This window comes from Homo sapiens, chromosome 10 (assembly GCF_000001405.40).
Source record: "Homo sapiens chromosome 10, GRCh38.p14 Primary Assembly".
Taxonomy (NCBI): domain Eukaryota; kingdom Metazoa; phylum Chordata; class Mammalia; order Primates; family Hominidae; genus Homo; species Homo sapiens.
Genome location: NC_000010.11, coordinates 60,089,577 through 60,106,996, shown reverse-complemented (window position 1 = coordinate 60,106,996; position 17,420 = coordinate 60,089,577). Strand labels below are relative to the sequence as shown.

General features: G+C 37.6%; 1 protein-coding gene across 5 annotated transcripts in view; it reads left to right on the top strand.

Moving 5' to 3' along the window:
• Positions 1–17,420, top strand: part of ANK3 (ankyrin 3) — a 707,231-nt gene that overhangs the window by 626,532 nt on the left and 63,279 nt on the right. For all 5 annotated transcript variants that reach the window (NM_001204403.2, NM_001204404.2, NM_001320874.2 and 2 more), the window contains one exon: positions 938–1,092. In NM_001204403.2, coding sequence (NP_001191332.1) covers positions 938–1,092 — 155 coding nt within the window. The remainder of the gene's footprint in view (positions 1–937; positions 1,093–17,420) is intronic.

The following is a 17,420-nucleotide window of genomic DNA, read 5'->3' as shown; positions in this document are numbered from 1 at the left end:
ATCACATATACCTAAACACATAGGTTAAGAAATGGGGTTCCATACAACCTCTGTAGGAGAATAATGATACTGTCTACTTAAATGTCATAAAATAAAGCTGCACAATCCAACTACATAAACTGTGTGTGATTGTGGTCTGCTTACTTCCATTCATCTCTTTTAGTATTTATCCTATTTTAAAATTTAACAAAATTATTTCCCGTGGCTTGATTGGCTATGTTCAATTTGCAGCCATTCTTTTACATTCCTTTGCAAAAGGACACTGTCAAAAATTACTGTGTCATTATGTGACAATTTCAAACCAACAAGTACTTTTACAGAAAGTGTAAGTATTCCTATGCAGGTTATATTAGAGCCAGGAATGGAAGCTACCTACTACCATTTCACAAATTGAAAAACACAGGAATTGTCTTAACTGTACAGGCCATGAAAAGCATGGAATCTGCCTGTTGGAGGAGTCGTTAACATATTGATTGTTTTCTTGCTAAGGAGAAAATATAGCAATCATCTTTCAAACTAGGAACTTTATAGAATTTTTTTTTAAAGAAATGACTGTGTCCTTTTAAATCATTAGCATTTGTATAATATACCTATTGTGTCTTTTAAAAATGGACCAACTTTCTTATGGTCTACTTTAATAAGTTTCCATTCTGATTCAAAATTCCTATTTATATGTACTGAAAAATTTCCCCCATTAAATCCTATGCCTAACATATGGTAGTCCTCCAAGAACTGTTTGTGAATGAATGAATGATGGCATGTTTTCAGGCTTCGAAAATATTCTTTAATTAGCAAATGATTCTGCAGCTTTGAAATCATTCCCAACCTTAGTGGCACCTCTGATTTTCAAATGAATACTGTTAACGAAACATTTTTTAAGTATGATACTATAAATATATTTAATTTGATACCAAAATAATGTGGATTTTTTTTCCAGCCCTGTCATAGTGGAAATCCCTCACTTTGGGTCCATGAGAGGAAAAGAGAGAGAACTCATTGTTCTTCGAAGTGAAAATGGTGAAACTTGGAAGGAGCATCAGTTTGACAGCAAAAATGAAGATTTAACCGAGTTACTTAATGGCATGGATGAAGGTAATAATGATGGCTCCTTGGTTCTGTAAATGTCTGCAGGCAGAAATTAAAGGAATGACTAGATTACATGAAACAGGACCTGAATTTCACACATTTGTATTTTAAGCTAGGACCCAAGTTCTTCAGCTTTTGTTGCTGTTTTCTATATCATAATGCTGAAGTTCCATTTAATCTAACAAACTTTATTCTCCGTAATATAGAAGTATAAGTATTTTGATGATTCCATCTTTAATCACATACATCAATCTTTCCAATACCAAAGAAAGTTTTCTAAGTCAAAAATGAGCAAGAAGAGGGTGAAATAATAATGGAAAGTATGCAAGGCATGCTGAGCATTTTGAAGAAAATATGTTCACATTTTATTTTTGGAATTATTTCTGGACTCTTTCAGCTTTTTCAAGTTTCTCCCAGATAATTTCAGTATCCTTCATAAATTTTTGATTTCTCTTGGGCCATAATTAGTCTTTAAAAAATGTTTCAGGGTAATTATTGGGGTCTGTGTTGTTTCAATGTCTCATTCTTTGACCTAGTAAGACTGGTATATATCTGAGCATGTCACTTTTTCATACACAACTTCTTCAGGCTGTCTGACCCTAAGAACCAGAGCAATTTTTCTTAGTAGACATTGGGAATAGTCTGGTTTTGAGAATAGGTGTTTGACGCAGAGTTTTCCTTTAAAAATGTAAAAAAAAAAAAATTAGAGAACAGGCTCACCATAACGTCTGATGCTGAGAGAAAAATATCAGAGCTAATTCTTCCTTTATACTCACTTCCTAATCACTCCAAATCCAGGAATTATTTAAACAACAGCTTTATTCGAGATATAATTCATATTCCATAAGATCCACTCTTTTTCAATTCACTGACTTTTGGAATGCACTCAGCATAGTCTCCAGTGAGTTTCAAGGTGTGAACAAAGGAGCGAGGTGAACCGTAGGGTACTTGAGGAATGACCTTGGGCAAATTTATTGAACTCTGTGAGCCTGTCTTTCTTCTGCAAAATGGAGATTACCTTCCTAACTTCCTATGGTTATTGTTGAGAATAAATAAAATAATTATGTGAGGCACATGTGAAATACAGTCCTTGTTACATAGTAAGCCCTTGATAATTATGAGTTATTATCACCATTATATTTGTTCTGTAGAAAAAATTGTCATGCCAAAGGTTTGGTATAAGACACAATCGCCACCAACCATGAATTTAAAGATGTCTTTACAGCAAGGTAGAGGGAGAATAGTAATTGTTGAGTGTCTAGCATTCATGAAGCACTGATAAATGCCTTCATATGTGAAAAATTTAAAAAGAAAGGATAGCACTGCAAATCAGGTGGTTTTAATTCCACTTTACTGATAAGGGTGCTAATCAGGTGGTTTTAATTCCACTTATAAGGAAACTGAAGTTCAGAGATGTCAAGTAACATATCTAAGGTTATTCCACTGAGTAGTAAGGCTGGGGTCCAAATGTAGGTCTACTTCTTTTCTTTTCTTTTCTTTTCTTTCTTTCTTTGTTTCTTTTTTTTTTTTTTTTTTTTTTTTTTTTTTTTTTTGAGATGGAGTCTCACTCTGTCACCCAGGCTGGAGTGCCGTGGCACAATCTCAGCTCACTGCAACGTCCGCCTCCTGGGTTCAAGCAATTCTCCTCCCTCAGCCTAAACTAAGGCTCAGAGAGATTGAGTGCCAAACTCAAACCTACACGTGTAGGTTTGTTATATAGGTAAACTTGTATTGCAGGTGTTTATTATACAAATTATTCTTTCACCCAGGTTCAAAGCCTAGTACCTACTAGTTACTTTTTGTGATCCTCTCACTCCTCCTACCCTCCACCTTCAAGTAGGCCCCAGTGTCTGTTGTCTTTGTGTCCACAAGTTCTCATTTAGCTCCCACTTATAAGTGAGAATATGCAGTATTTGGTTTTCTGTTCCTGCATTAGTTTGCTAAGGATAATGGCCTCCAGCTCCATCCATGTTCCTGCAAAAGACAGGATCTCATTCTTTTTTATGGCTGCATAGTTTTCCAAGGTGTAAAGAAACAATGATGTAATCTTCTGTCTTGGATTCTATGTGTTATTTTGGAAAAACTGGATAGCATTTCCTTGCCACATTTTTAAAGACCAGATAAACTTTGGTTCCATTTTAGACAATTCAAAGGAAATGCATATACTTCCAGGCTTAAAGAATCAAGTACTGGAGTCCACTAGAGCAAAAATGAGGATGGAATTTTCAAGGCACAGATTTTCTTCATGTATTAAACTTAATAGTAATGAAGCAACCACTACACACATTTTATAATTGAAGCTCAGTTAATCAAATTGTATGCCAAACTCGAACCCTTCTCGCCACTCTTTTCATATCCCCAAAAACACTTCATTCTTACCAGAACTTTCCTCTCTTCAAAAGCAGACCAGCCAAAAAAAAAATCCCAAATCTGTCTTTTTAAAAAGCCAACTTCTTCCTTGAAGGGACAACTGTTCAAAGTTCTAGTTCAGAGAGAAGCATAAGCACAGTTTAGGAGGTTTCATGTTTTTTATGTTCTTTTATCCTCTCTGTTCCCCTCCCATTTTGCTACTGAATAACTGTTAATTAACAAGATAAAAATAGTTCCTGAATTAAACCAGTGACCAGGTCACTCAAGGTTTCCTTAAAAAAGACAAATAGGCCGGGTGCAGTGTGGTTCACGCCTGTAATCCCAGCACTTTGGGAGGCCGAGGCAAGTGGATCACGAAGTCAAGAGATGGAGACCATCCTGGCCAACATGGTGAAACCCCCGTCTCTACTAAAAATACAAAAATTAGCTGGGCGTGGTGGCATGTGCTTGTAGTCCCAGCTACTCGGGAGGCTGAGGCAAGAGAATCACTTGAACCCGGGAGGCGCAGGTTGCAGTGAGCCAAGATCGCGCCACTGCACTCCAGCCTGACGACAGCAAGACTTTGTCTCAGAAAAAAAAAAATAAATTGTCTTACCATTATTTAATATAACGTATTAATTTCATAACAATTAAGCTTTATCTGTCATCTGTGGCAAGTGACCCTTGATAATGTCTGTCTTGTTATAAATGTTTACTTTTTCAACCCCCTTCTCCATAGATGAATTCTATGTGCTACTTTATAACCAATCTACATGCCACTTTTATAACCAGTCCTGTTGTAGGTTCTTCTCTGAAAATCTTAAAACTCAAGTATTTAAAAATCATCTTAGCAAATATTCTGATTTATTAACACAATTGTAAATATCAGTTTATGTTCCTATAGTGTGTTAAAATGTGTGAAGCCTTTCCATGTACGCAATCAAATTTAACTAGTAGAATAACTCCTGGGAAAGAGAAGTTTAAGGAGCAGGATAATTTGCCCCATGTAATGTGGTGGTTGGGATCATGATTTATGGAAGTTACACAGACTAGACTTCTCATCTTGGCTCCACCGCTTACTCGTTGTGTGACCGTAATGAAGCACTCAATCTCTGAGCCTTGGTTTAAATGTGTAAAGTGAGGATGCCTAATAGTGAACTAATAAGGAATAGATGAGCTAATATATGTAAAGCTCCTAGCTTGATGCCTGATATATGAGAATCACTCAATCAGTGTTTAGTCATAGTCACAACTGCCGTGTAAGTTGTGCAGGAGAGCAAATGGGGTCTGAAATCTTGCCCTTTTCACTTGTCAAGCCATCTGCCCTGACACTGGCCTGTAAGACATAGGGGTACTTTCTTCTAATTTGCTCAAAGCTGCTATCTAGTTGCCAACCTGTGTACCTACAAGGTTGTATACACCCCAAGTGGGCACCCTTTTCCAAATCGTACAAAGACACTACATCAGCTAGTAAAAGCCCTGGTCATCGTTGATTATGATGACACACACTCAACATCGCCACCACCCGGAAACAGTAAATAGATTTAGTCTTCCAAACCTGGACTTCTGACTCCACACCTAGTTGTCTCTCTGCACTGCTCCTTTGCCTCTGTATGCTCTCAAATGAATGATGCCTGTGAAAGTGCTTTGTGTAGAACAAAAGAGCCACATATATGTCAGCTGGTATTTAAGTTGTCCATTACTAATGAAGACACCTCTTAGTTTCTTTGTATGACACAAAAAATATGGTATGTATTCAGGAAAAACTGTAGCTGCAAAATAAGGGGGAATTAAAAGTTACTCCTTATCACCAGCAAGCCCAGGGACTGAAATATCAGTGGTTTTGCTAACGAAGTAGGTGTATTAGCAAAGGTCTATTGAAGAGGCTAGAATCACAGAAAGGACAGTTGGTCTGGGTGTGAAGAACTTGCCATCACCACTAAGGTATCATGCAACAAGAACAACTTTAACTTTGGCAGCAGACATAGATTTTGTTCTAGTCTTTGTCAATTTTTGTTTTCTCAGCCAAGAAAAAGATGCTGCAAACAGAAAACAAACATTCATTCCCCCCACCAAATTATAACGCAGCGAACTGAATTAACTTTTTAAGTTTAATGAAAACCTTCCTTTAATTAAACTCACAAAGTTTAATTAAACATGTTTAAAGTTACATCTCCAAAGTCAGACCCCAAAGAGTGTTTTGTAGTTTGCTGTTATCTTGGATCTGGAATTTTCTAGTAGAAGAGGTCCTTAATTTACAAACCAAAAGCTCCAGAAATGTTCTAGTCCTGCCCTGTCCCATACAGTAGCCACTAGCTCCAGGGAACAACAGAGCACTTGAAATAAAATTAGTACAAATGGAAATATGCTGCAAATGTAAAATACACCAGATACGCGAGGATGAGTACCCTCCTCCAAATACATATCTCATTATTAATTTTTACATTGGTTACACATTGAAATGGTAATATTTTGGATATATTAATCTAAATAAAATGTACCTATAATCCCAGCTACTCAGGAGGCTGAGGTGGGGGGATTGCTTGAGGTCAAGATTTCAGGAGCTCAGCCTGGGCAACATAGACTCCATCTCTAAAAAACAAATAAAAAATTAATTTCACCTGTTTATTTTTATTTTTTAGTGTGGCTATAGGAAATTTAAAATTACATACCCAGTTTACATTATATTTTTACTGGACAGTGCCTCTCTGGACAGTGTGTATGCTTTGTTTTACATATCTATTTTGTTTTAACACAAAAATTGTTGCTACCTAAGTATTACACGGAAGGCTTTGAGTATATATGAATTATGCCATTATTTAAAAATCCCAATCGCTGTCTTGGAACAAAATGTTGCTGAAGTTCCCCCAAACAATTTTACAATGCTAGGAACATATTTTCTTGTCATTGCTGAACTTTCAAATGAGAGCAAATGAAGTTTTTAAGATAATACATTTTAGATTGAATAGTTACACTATTGTTTTATTGTAAACAGGAAAGGGAAATTGGTACTTGCTATGTAACAGAAAATTTTTTAAATTTACTGTCTGACTACATAAACAGTATCTTAGAAACAGACTTCTCAGAAGTTGCCAATTGGGTTCATTTCAATATAATTTAATTGTTTTTGCCATGAGACCAATAGTGTTAAGTCATTGTAGAAGCAGTTGAGCACTGATGTGAAATGTGTAGCTTTATGTTGTGCACAGCACCATCTGCTGGAGAAATCTAGTAACAGTTTTGAAAAATTCCCAAGGAGAGAATAAAAATACAATTTAACCAAATCAGGACTGTGGTTGGGGTGCAAAAAAAAAAAAAAAAAAAAAACCATAGCAAAATACTGACTTTCAGCCTATTGCCATAAACTGGCATTTTAAATCAATTGAATGATGTCCATCGTGTTGGAAAGGAAAGGAAACTGTAGCAGAACAGTCCCCCAAACTAGTAGAAATAAAAATTCTAGTTTAGAAATGAAAATTAGGACAAAGCAAATAAGCATTAATAAGGACAGGTTTTTAATGCATTTGCATATATGGATTTGCCAGAAATTACATGTCTTTATGAAACATTAGTGGATCAAAATAATGACATAAGCCATCCTGCCCCCCACCCCCCATATCAGGCACAGTAGAGCTTTTAGCCCTCTGAGGGCAGTGAAGCAGGTCCACGAGGTTGGACATCAGCCTCCACTACCTTTAGTGTTGATGTGAACAGAGAGACCAGTGTGCCAGAAACTGCAGGTCTAAGCTTTTGGAGTTTAGTGTGTTCTGTATTTGCTGCTCATGCGAGGTTATTGATTCATTGTGTTTAAGACACTATTTATGATCCTGGATTTTGAAGATAGAATCATATTAATTGATTTTTCCCTTAGATGTAACAGTAATGGCTTAAACAATGGGGTGAAAAAAGTGACATATAGGGACTAATTGCCTGAAACCATGTTTTTATTTGCACAAATGGAAAAGTAAACAAATGTAAGTCTCTTAATCTGCAGTCATGGAAGAAAACCTTAGAAGGATTATTCCAGTGTGGCCAGACGTCCCCTACTTCTCTTCCTCCAGGAAGCCCTCCCTAATCCCCAGACTCAGATCAAACTGGTAAATACACCCACAGTACCATAACTGCAACTTTGAACTTTGATATCTTCCTTGGTGCACTGCAAAAGTCCAAGAGGGCAGAGACCAACTCTGACTTGTTGACAGCCATTATGCCCACTGCATATAACAACTCTTGATACAGAGTTGTCAGTTCATCATAGTCTGTTGCATGAACGGAGAAATGAATGACTTGTGTCAGGCATATGCCCCCCCTGCTGGTGACACTTTTTCTCAATCCAGTGACCCATACCCAAGAGAGAGAAAAACTTTCTGGAAGAAGGGAGGCTACACCAAATGGAGAGAGGAAGTCTGGGGCCTGGGGAAGGCTCTGGGGCAGGTTATGGTCATTCTACACACAGAGTACAAAGTAATCTTAAATGTCAACACTGAAGGTAGAGTTCAAAAAATGGTCACATTTGTCCCTGATTTTTAAAGTAATATCTCATAAGCACATAATGATTAAAAATTAATCTTCTAAAAATAGCTTTAAAAATATATGATTGTCAGAAATTATATTAATAGACTGCTAAAACTGGAGGGAAAAACAAGCAGGTATATCATTGTTTCCAGACATTCTGCATCATCAGCACTTATTACACGTGCAAATCTAAACAGCAAAGAGGATCTCTACCCTGAATAAAGATGTGAAATAATGCTGACCCAAATATATATAAACCAGATGACAGAATTGGATAAGAATATGAGTTAAACACTAAAATTATAAAAGGTGCATGGAGCCTTTCGTACTATCTTTGCCATGCCCCATGAATTTATAATTATTTTAAAATAAATGTTTTTTAAAACATTGAAAAGATCTCTATGATGTTAACTTCAAGGAAGAAGGATCAAGTTATATCATTTGAGGATTTTTCCCTATAACATCTTATGTGAACTTATTATGAAATTTGTGTATTTTGATGGAGCTGAACTTTAATTCCAAAGGGATAAATGCCTGTAGTTTTCTAAACTAGTTCAGTAAATATATTACAATGCTATGTTGTTCTACATATTCTATAACTAGAGTTGAATATTATAGATTTATTTTTTATTTTCTTCATTTCTCCCAACTTATTTGATATTTAATTTTCAGTAATTGGTGATTTTCTTTAATGGAATGAAATGGAAATGATAGCAATTCATATTTATATTTTGTAGAGAATTATTTTTAAAATATAACTTGTGTATTTTCTTAGATCTGCTACAGATTGACTCTCTGGCTGCCCTCAAAAGCTGTGTGACCTCGAAAAGAATATATAACTCTTCTAAGTTATTATGTGAACAGAATTGTGCTGGGTGGTTTTCTGTCATTTTTTTTTGTCATATCCATCCCAGAGGAAACTGCTCATCCTAATCACATAGATGAGGAACATATGGCTCAGAGAAGTTCAGGAACTTGCCTGAGGTCCAGGTGCACTGACTATAGAGCTATATTTCAACCCTGGGCACCTGTCTACAGTGACTTACCACAGACCCCATAACTTGCTTTTTGAAATCTAACATTCTAAAAATCCTTTACTTTTTCACCTCTCAATATCAAATACCCCATTCTTAGAGGAGCTGAGAAAAGCCTGCACCTGACTAGAAATTAACCCTGATACACAAATCATCCTTTGGGAAACCTTGAGGCCATTTGTATTCCTTCCATGGACTATTCACACTCCACCCTGACCAGGTCACAAGTAGCCTTTGAAATCTAAATTGATACAGGAAACAGAGCTGTGTCCCCATTTAACGAAGTGATCGAGACATTTAATTGTGTGCCCATAAGAGTGAGGCAAAAACTAATCAAGATGGTCATTTGAAAGCGTTAAGAGTAACCCATTTAGTCAGAACATGATTTCAGTCATGTTATTTATGCTTCGTTGTATTATGGTCTCCATAACCATTTATATTTGCAAAGCATTTTATGATTCTTGTTGTTTGTAACAAAGCCTCAGTCACAGAGAATGCTGTCCCACCTTTTACAAATAAACTGAGTTACAAGGTGCTTAAGAAATTTATCATTTATCTATGAGGCAAGAAGGCTATAGAACATTAGTGGCTCTGTAATCAGGCCTGCTGCTTAGATGGGTCAATGAGAAGTCAGGTCACCTTTTCGACCACGGCATTTGCAAATCTATTCATTACTCATCCGTTTATCAACCACCACTCGTGTGAGGTAGTCTGCAAAGACACTGTTAAAGAGTGGTTGAAGTCCATGTCTGTGTGACTTCATCTCTTTCCAACACCCCTTTCCTAGACCTAGGTTCTAAGCTCTAAAACTGACGAGCTAAATCCATCTGGACAAGTCACTTCACCTCTCTGAACTTCAGACACCTATTTTACCAAAATGCTGTGTGGGCCAAATGATAATTGACCTGACACAAAATAGACCTTCAGTAAGTGTAAAGTTCAATCTTCCTCCTGGCCAAAACTGCCTATTTCAGAACTCACTTCTCTTTTCCCTCTAATCCTCTTTTTGTATGTGAGAATTTAGTAACAGATTTTAAAAAGAGAGAGGAGAGAGGAATTTCAGGGTCTTTTCATAGTCTATGGCATTATGAATCACCCTGAAAGGTAAGAAGCTCTTATGTTTATGTTCTATTGTTTACTTTACAGCAACTTATGCCATTTTTCTCCCTCAATTCTGTAGCTGTGGAGTTATTTAGAATATCCTTTTAAAAAACAAAACCATATAAAAGTAATGAATATTTATTTTTGCCAATAAGCTTTTCTTCTCATATTAAACCATTCTTATTTTTTATAGGGTCCTGTTGTCATGTTTTTAACAATTTGGGTTCTGAATTTTTAAGACAAAGTACAGGATGAGAGTCTACCAAGACATTACTTTTTCAAATGTGTCAAAAAGTCACCTGGGTAGAGTGTGAAAACAGATTTTTAGGTTTCACTCCAGGTCTGCCTAGTCAGAAGCCCAGCAATCTGTGGTACTAACATGTAGTACGATTGTTTCTTACGAACTGGCCAGGTTGGAGGACATTGCATTAGGAGCTAGGAACTCTGCAGATGTGAATGTGATAGTGGCATTGCATTTGTGCCGCAGATTATTTTGTCGAGCTTTTTTCTGTAATGTATAGGATGGGACAAAACAAAGGATTCTTGGTAATATATTGCTGCTTCTTTGACCTAATTAGTAAGGACCGTTTTTAAAATCTAAATACATATAAGTTCAATCCCAGAAAGAATATTGGCACTGTTCATTTTTACATTATCAGGCTTTATTACTATTTGTCTGGAAATCTGACTTCTCTGATATACTTTTATCTTATTTTATTTTATTTCTTTCTTTATTTTTGAGATGGAGTCTCGCTGTGTCACCCAGGCTGCAGTGCAGTGGCATGATCTTGGCTCACTGCAATCTCCACCTCCCGGGTTCTAGTGATTCTCCTGCCTCAGCCTCCCGATAGCTGGGATTACAGGCACCTACCGACACACCTGGCTAATTTTTGTATTTTTAGTAGAGACAGGGTTTCACCATGTTGGCCACACTGGTCTTGAACTCCTGATCTCAGGTGATCCACCCACCCCAGCCTTCCAAAATGCTGGGATTACAGGCATGAGCCACTGTACCCGGCCTCTGATATACTTTTAAAATATGTAATACAAAACTTCCAGAAAGAGGTTTATATTCTTATGAAAGTTAAACTCATTTTGTGTAAATGTTCATTAAGTAAACAGTAATTTGAGTTATAAACACATGGACATAATAGATTTCACTGTGGATTAAAAAGTAGGAAGATTAGAACCACTTTTTCACATGCATTTTTTTTAATAAAAATAAAACTAGGCCAGGCACAGCGGCTCACGCCTGTAATCCAAATACTTTGAGAGGTTGAGGCAGAGGATTGCTTGAGGCCAGGAGTTCAAGACCAGCCTGGGCAATATAGCAAGGGCCAGTCTCTACAAAAAAAGTTTAGAAATTAGCAGGGCGTGGTGATGTACATCTGTAGTGTCAGCTACTCAGGAGGCTGAAGTGGGAGGATTGCTTGAGCCCAGAAGTTCAAGGCTGGAATGAGCTATGATCATACCACTGCATTCCAGCCAAAGTGACAAAGTGAAACCTCGTATCTAATAAAATAAAGTAATCTAAAAGAACAAACAATAACCAGTCTCTACTAGTACGTATATTTTATAGCAAGACTTAAAGAACTGTACAGTTGTTTGATGTGAAAAGTGTCTGAGTCTCATTGATTCCCAGCTGATTTCTTTGGTAGATGCTTGTTTAGCACCTGCTGTGTGCCGGGTCTCAATATCAAACATCATTTAATTTAATATAGTTTAACTATGGCTACCTTGCTCTTTATGAAAAGAACACCTAATTTTTAAAACAACTAATAATTTTATTAGACTCAAAAGCCTTAGGGGAAGGTACTCATGATGCCGAGCAATGCGGCCCACAGTCAGGGTGTGAGAGTTAGCTGAGTGTGGAGGGTCCTTGCCTCCTTCCCCCTTGGGGCCTCTCTCCAGCTGTCTGGGGATTTCGTTCTCTATTTTCCAGCACTGAGCTAAGGATATTTTGTTTTGTATTTCACTTTCCTTTTTTAAAAGCAAGAAACAGGGAAAAAACAGGTTTGAGTTGAATGTGTTAACACATTAAAATGTTATCTAGGGTTTTATTTACATATAATATTTATTAATGCTAATCCTATTAATGGTCAGGTAATAAGTTTTCAGATCCTAAGAATTCTGTAGTGACATTACTGATGGCTTTACTTCCTCCTTTTGCCTTTTCACACTTACCTACTATCTATGTCATTTATTTTTTTTTTGACTTATGCAATATCCTAGAATTTCATAGCCTAGCCATCAACTGCAGCCCTTGAAGAAGAGATTATGCCTTTCTTTACAAAAGAATATTTAAGTAATACTTTTTGTATATTTTTGTATTTTTCTTGGCTTTTATTCTTAGAGAAAAAACTTATAAATATCTTAAGCACACAAACAGGATGAAACCTGGTTATAAGAAACCAGAGAGGCTGGGCGTGGTTTTCACGGGTCATGCCTGTAATCCCAGAACTTTGGGAGGCTGAGGCGGGCACATCACTTGAGCTCAGGAGTTCAATACCAGCTTGGCCAACATTGTGAAACCCCATCTCTACTAAAAATACAAAAATTAGCTGGGCATGGTAGCGCATGGCTGTAATCCCAGCTACTTGGGAGGCTGAGACAGGAGAACTGCTTGAATCCGGGAGGTGAAAATTGTAGTGAGCAGAGATTATACCACTGCACTCTATCCTAAGCAACAGAGTGAGTGAGACCCTGTCCAAAAAAAAAAAAAAAAAAAAATAGAATACTGTTTCTCCATTTCATCATGTAGACACCTGGAAATCTGACTGTTGAAGAAGGCAGTGCATGTGATTCTATTTAAGGAATAGTACATGGAGACACTAAATGTCCCCCTTGCCTACAGCAGTGCCTGAAATTCCCACATTAGTTGTGTCTTTGAGTTGGGGCTTATCTTCAAAATACTGTTAAAATGTACATTGAAGGTCAATAACCATGCAAGTTTTAATGGTGTCAAAAGAATTGCTAAAAGCTTTGAAAAAAAATGAACACAACACAGAGGGTCCCTGAGCTGCTGGGAAATTATAAAATATGTCAGAATTTGAATGTGGAGGGTACTGATCGCTTCTCCTCGGAGCTTCTCTGTTTATATAGTTAGAAATCTGAGCATTTCCACTTGCAACTTGTCTGCTGCATCTGAAATGTACATGTTCACTTTATATTTGGGGTGGCTTTAATGCCTTATCAAAGGTGACAGAGTAGAGCTTAAGTGTGGTCAGCCTGCCTCTATCACGCAAAGTGGCAATTCTTCTCAATTCAGTGCTGTCATCGTTTTCGGGGGTGTTATAGCTGTTTCTTTCTACTTTTAATCCTCACAAATGTGTGCACATATACCCAGAACTCTCTCACACACAAAAATAGCTAAGAAGTGTACAGTACTTCCAGTTCCCCAAAAGATGCCTCAGTTCCTCTGGTGGGTCTAGACTGATCTCAAGTAAATTTCATACTCACAGGATACACAGCTTGTTATAAGCAGAATTAGGAAATCTGCCCCATTTGAAGGATGTAATTTCATGATCTGTCTTCTTAAATTGCTAGCACCATAAGGAGTCCTGAGCCATTTTGAAGGAGAACATGACATCTTTGTGGCTGAAGTGAAAAAATATCTGCTTAGCTGATGATGATATGTTGTATAGCGATTTAAACAGATAATCAGAACTTTCTCAGTTGCAGCATGAGTTATGAACTTGAGGAATTCACTCTCTTAAGCCAAATCATGGAGAGGGAAATATATTTGCTTTCTATGGAAAACGTTTATCTCCTTTCAGTTACATTGAATAGGTGAAAACTCCCCCAGAATATTCTCCTAAGCAAACTGTTTGATTCTTTCCTATTTTTCTGTAGGAAAACTTTCTTTTTAAAAATTCTGGCCGGGTGCAGTGGCTCACACCTGTAATCCCAGCATTTTGGGAGGCCAAGGCAGCCGGATTGCCTGAGGTCAGGAGTTCGAGACCAGCCTGGCCAACATGGTGAAACCCCATCTCTACTAAAAATACAAAAATTAGCTGGGCGTGGTGGCACACGCCTGTAATCACAGCTACTTGGGAGGCTGAGACAGAAGAATTGCTTGAGCCCAGGAGGCGGAGGTTGCAGTGAGCTGAGATCATGCCCCTGCACTCCAGCCTAGCCAACAGAGTGAGATTCTGTTTCAAAACAAAACAAAACAAAACAAAATTATTTGTTTTCTTTTCTTTTCCTACACTAGGATTTCAGTGTTTAGGTTTACAGAGAAGAAGATACTTGAGGAGGCAAAAAGGAGTAAAATTGCAGTTCCTTTTTTTTCTAATAGTTACTTTTTTAATTAAAGAAGAAAATAGTTCTATAGTCATTGTTCCATTTGGGAAATCAATGTTTGATAATAAAAGTTCTGTTGGTGGCTCATTTTTTAAATCTGGGTTGAACCCTGTTTCTCTCCTAGTTGATAATTTGATCCTCCCATCTCAGAGTTTAGTGGTTGATCCGTAAAATGAAAAAGATGTATTGATCCAATTACCTAATCATTCATTTTGTCATTCTACAAGTTTCTATTTGAAATAAGCCATAATCTCAGCCTCACGTATCTGATAAAGGAGGCAGAAATGTTAATAGTGAAGGGACAGGGGGACCTGTGCAGTATGTATCGGAGGTCTGAAAAGAGTCCTGTAGGAGTAATGAACAACAAAACAACCCCCCATCCCCCAAAGTTTGGGAATTTTTCCTTTATTTTGTTAATAGGTAAAACAAGCATAGCTATATCAACCCAAGGGTAATACTCCCTGTTCCCTACCCTCTTCTCATCTTCCTTCCCCAATTCCATTTCCTGTTCCTCTGAGGTAACCATTGCTAACAGCCTAGAATGTTTCTTCTACATATTTCTTATAAAAATATACAAACGTAGCCTGGCGCGGTGGCTCACGCCCGTAATCCCAGCACTTTGGGAGGCTGAGGTGGGCAGATCACGAGGTCAAGAGATCGAGACCATCCTGGCCAACATGGTGAAACCCCATCTCTACTAAAAGTACGAAAATTAGCTGGGCATGGTGGCGCATGCCTGTAGTCCCAGCTACTCGGGAGGCTGAGGCAGGAGGGGTGCTTGAACCCGGGAGGCAGAGCTTGCAGTGAGTGGAGATTGTGCCACTGCACTCCAGCCTAGCGATAGAGCGAGACTCCGTCTCAAAAAAAAAAAAACAAAAATGTGCAGATTACATTTTCCCCTATAAAGGATGATCCTGTGCACATTGCTGTGCATCTTGCTCAGGTGTACAGCAATTTCCGCAGGTTATACAGGGCAGTCGCTCTTTGTCTGGCTCCCTCCTATCCTCCCTCCAGTCTACCCTCTAGTGTCACATCTCAAATCATCCTGTTCAAACGAGAAACTCTCCTCCCACCCCCACCCTCCCTGGTCACATTCTAGTCCCTCACTTTGATTTATTTTTTCTTCATATTTGTTTAGTGATGTATCTACCCCCTTTATCCCCTATTAGAATAAAATTTCCATGTGAGAGTGACTTTAATTTCCTTTCTACCCTATCCCCAGTGACTAGATCAGTGCTCTACATGGTGGTCCCTCAGTAAAAACTTGGTAAATGAATGAATTGGAATCATTCTGTTTACTAACTGCAGGAATGTCTAGGATATGGGTAAACTGTTACTTATGTAACCATTCCCTTATTCATAGAGATGCAAGTTCTTTCAAGCTTTAGTCTTTATAAGCAATGCTGCCGGGTGCTGTGGCTCATGCCTGTAATCCCAACACTTTGGGGGTCCAAGGTTGGGGGGATCACCTGAGGTCAGGAGTTTGAGACCAGGCTGGCCAACATGGTGAAACCCTGTCTCTACTAAAAATACAAAAATTAGCTGGGCGTGGTGGCGTGTGCCTGTAATCCCAGCTATTCAGGAGGCCAAAGCAGGAGAATCACTAGAACTGGGAAGGCAGAGGTTGCAGTGAGCCGAGATCGTGCCATTGCACTCGTGGGCGACACGGCGAGATCTGTCTCAAAAAAAAAAAGATGTCAGTAAATGGTATTGCTGCGTCCAGGGTAGGTGCATTTTCAATTTGAATAGATGATGCCCAGTTACACTGTTAAAAAATTATTGCCATTCACACCCACTTGCAGTAATGAAAGCACTTATTTCCCTTAATTTTTCTCTGATAACAAGATGTGATTAGTGTTTAATTTTAGCTAATCCAAGAAGTGGGTGTGGAGGGAGATAGTATCTCATTCTAATTGGCATTTCCATGTAAATTATCCAGTTTGAACATTGTAATATGTTTTATTGACCATTTTTCAGCTTCTGTGAATTGCCTGTTTATAATATTTTGCTATCATCTATTGACTTATCTGCCATCCTATTATTAATACGTTTGGTATTGAGCATATTAATCTTTTACTTGTCAGGTGTGGCTATTTTTCCAGTCTACTTTTTGCTTTTCAAGTTTACTCTTTTTGTCATGGAAATCTTTACATTTTTATGTAGTCAAATATATTACCTTTTATATTATGCTTTTAGGCTTCTGGGTTTCCAGTTTTGTATAGGAAAGTTTCCCCTAACTAAAGCGAAACCATATTTTCCTGAATTTTTTGGTAAGATTTTAATTTTTTTTTTGGAAATGGAGTCTCACTCTGTTGCCCAGGATGGAGTGAGTGGCGTGATCTCGGCTCACTGCAACCTTCGCCTCCCAGGTTCAAGTAATTCTCCTGTCTCAGCACCCCAAGTAGCTAGGATTACAGGCGCATGCCACCACACCCAGCTAAATTTTGTACTTTTTAGTAGAGATGGGATTTCACCATGTTGGCCCGGCTGGTCTTGAACTCCTGACCTCGTAATCTGCCTCGGCCTCCCAAAGTGCTGGGATTACAGGTGTGAGCCACCACGCCTGGCCAGATTTTAATTTTTAAAAATAGTTGTCTCCTAAGCAAATGTAATTTTTTATTTATATACAATAAGATGTGATTTAGCTTTGTTTTTCCAAATAGATTTCCTATTATGTAAATACCATCTTTTAAATAAATCATCTTTCTCTCACTTATTTGAAATTTAAATATATTACCTTGATTTAAATATAACTTAAATACATAATACATATATAAAAGTATATGTGGATTTATATATATTCAGTATACATATTTAAACTTGAATCTATTTCTTGATTCTCTATTATTGTCCCCCAACCTATTTGTCTATTCCTATGTATAATTCTTATATTTCTATATGTGTGTGTTTAACTGTTTAATTATTGTACTTCTGAGTAAATCTTAATATCATATAAGATAAATTCTCCGTCACAAACCTACTTTTCCAAAATACTCTTGCTAATCTCAAACACTTATTATGCCATAAAAATTT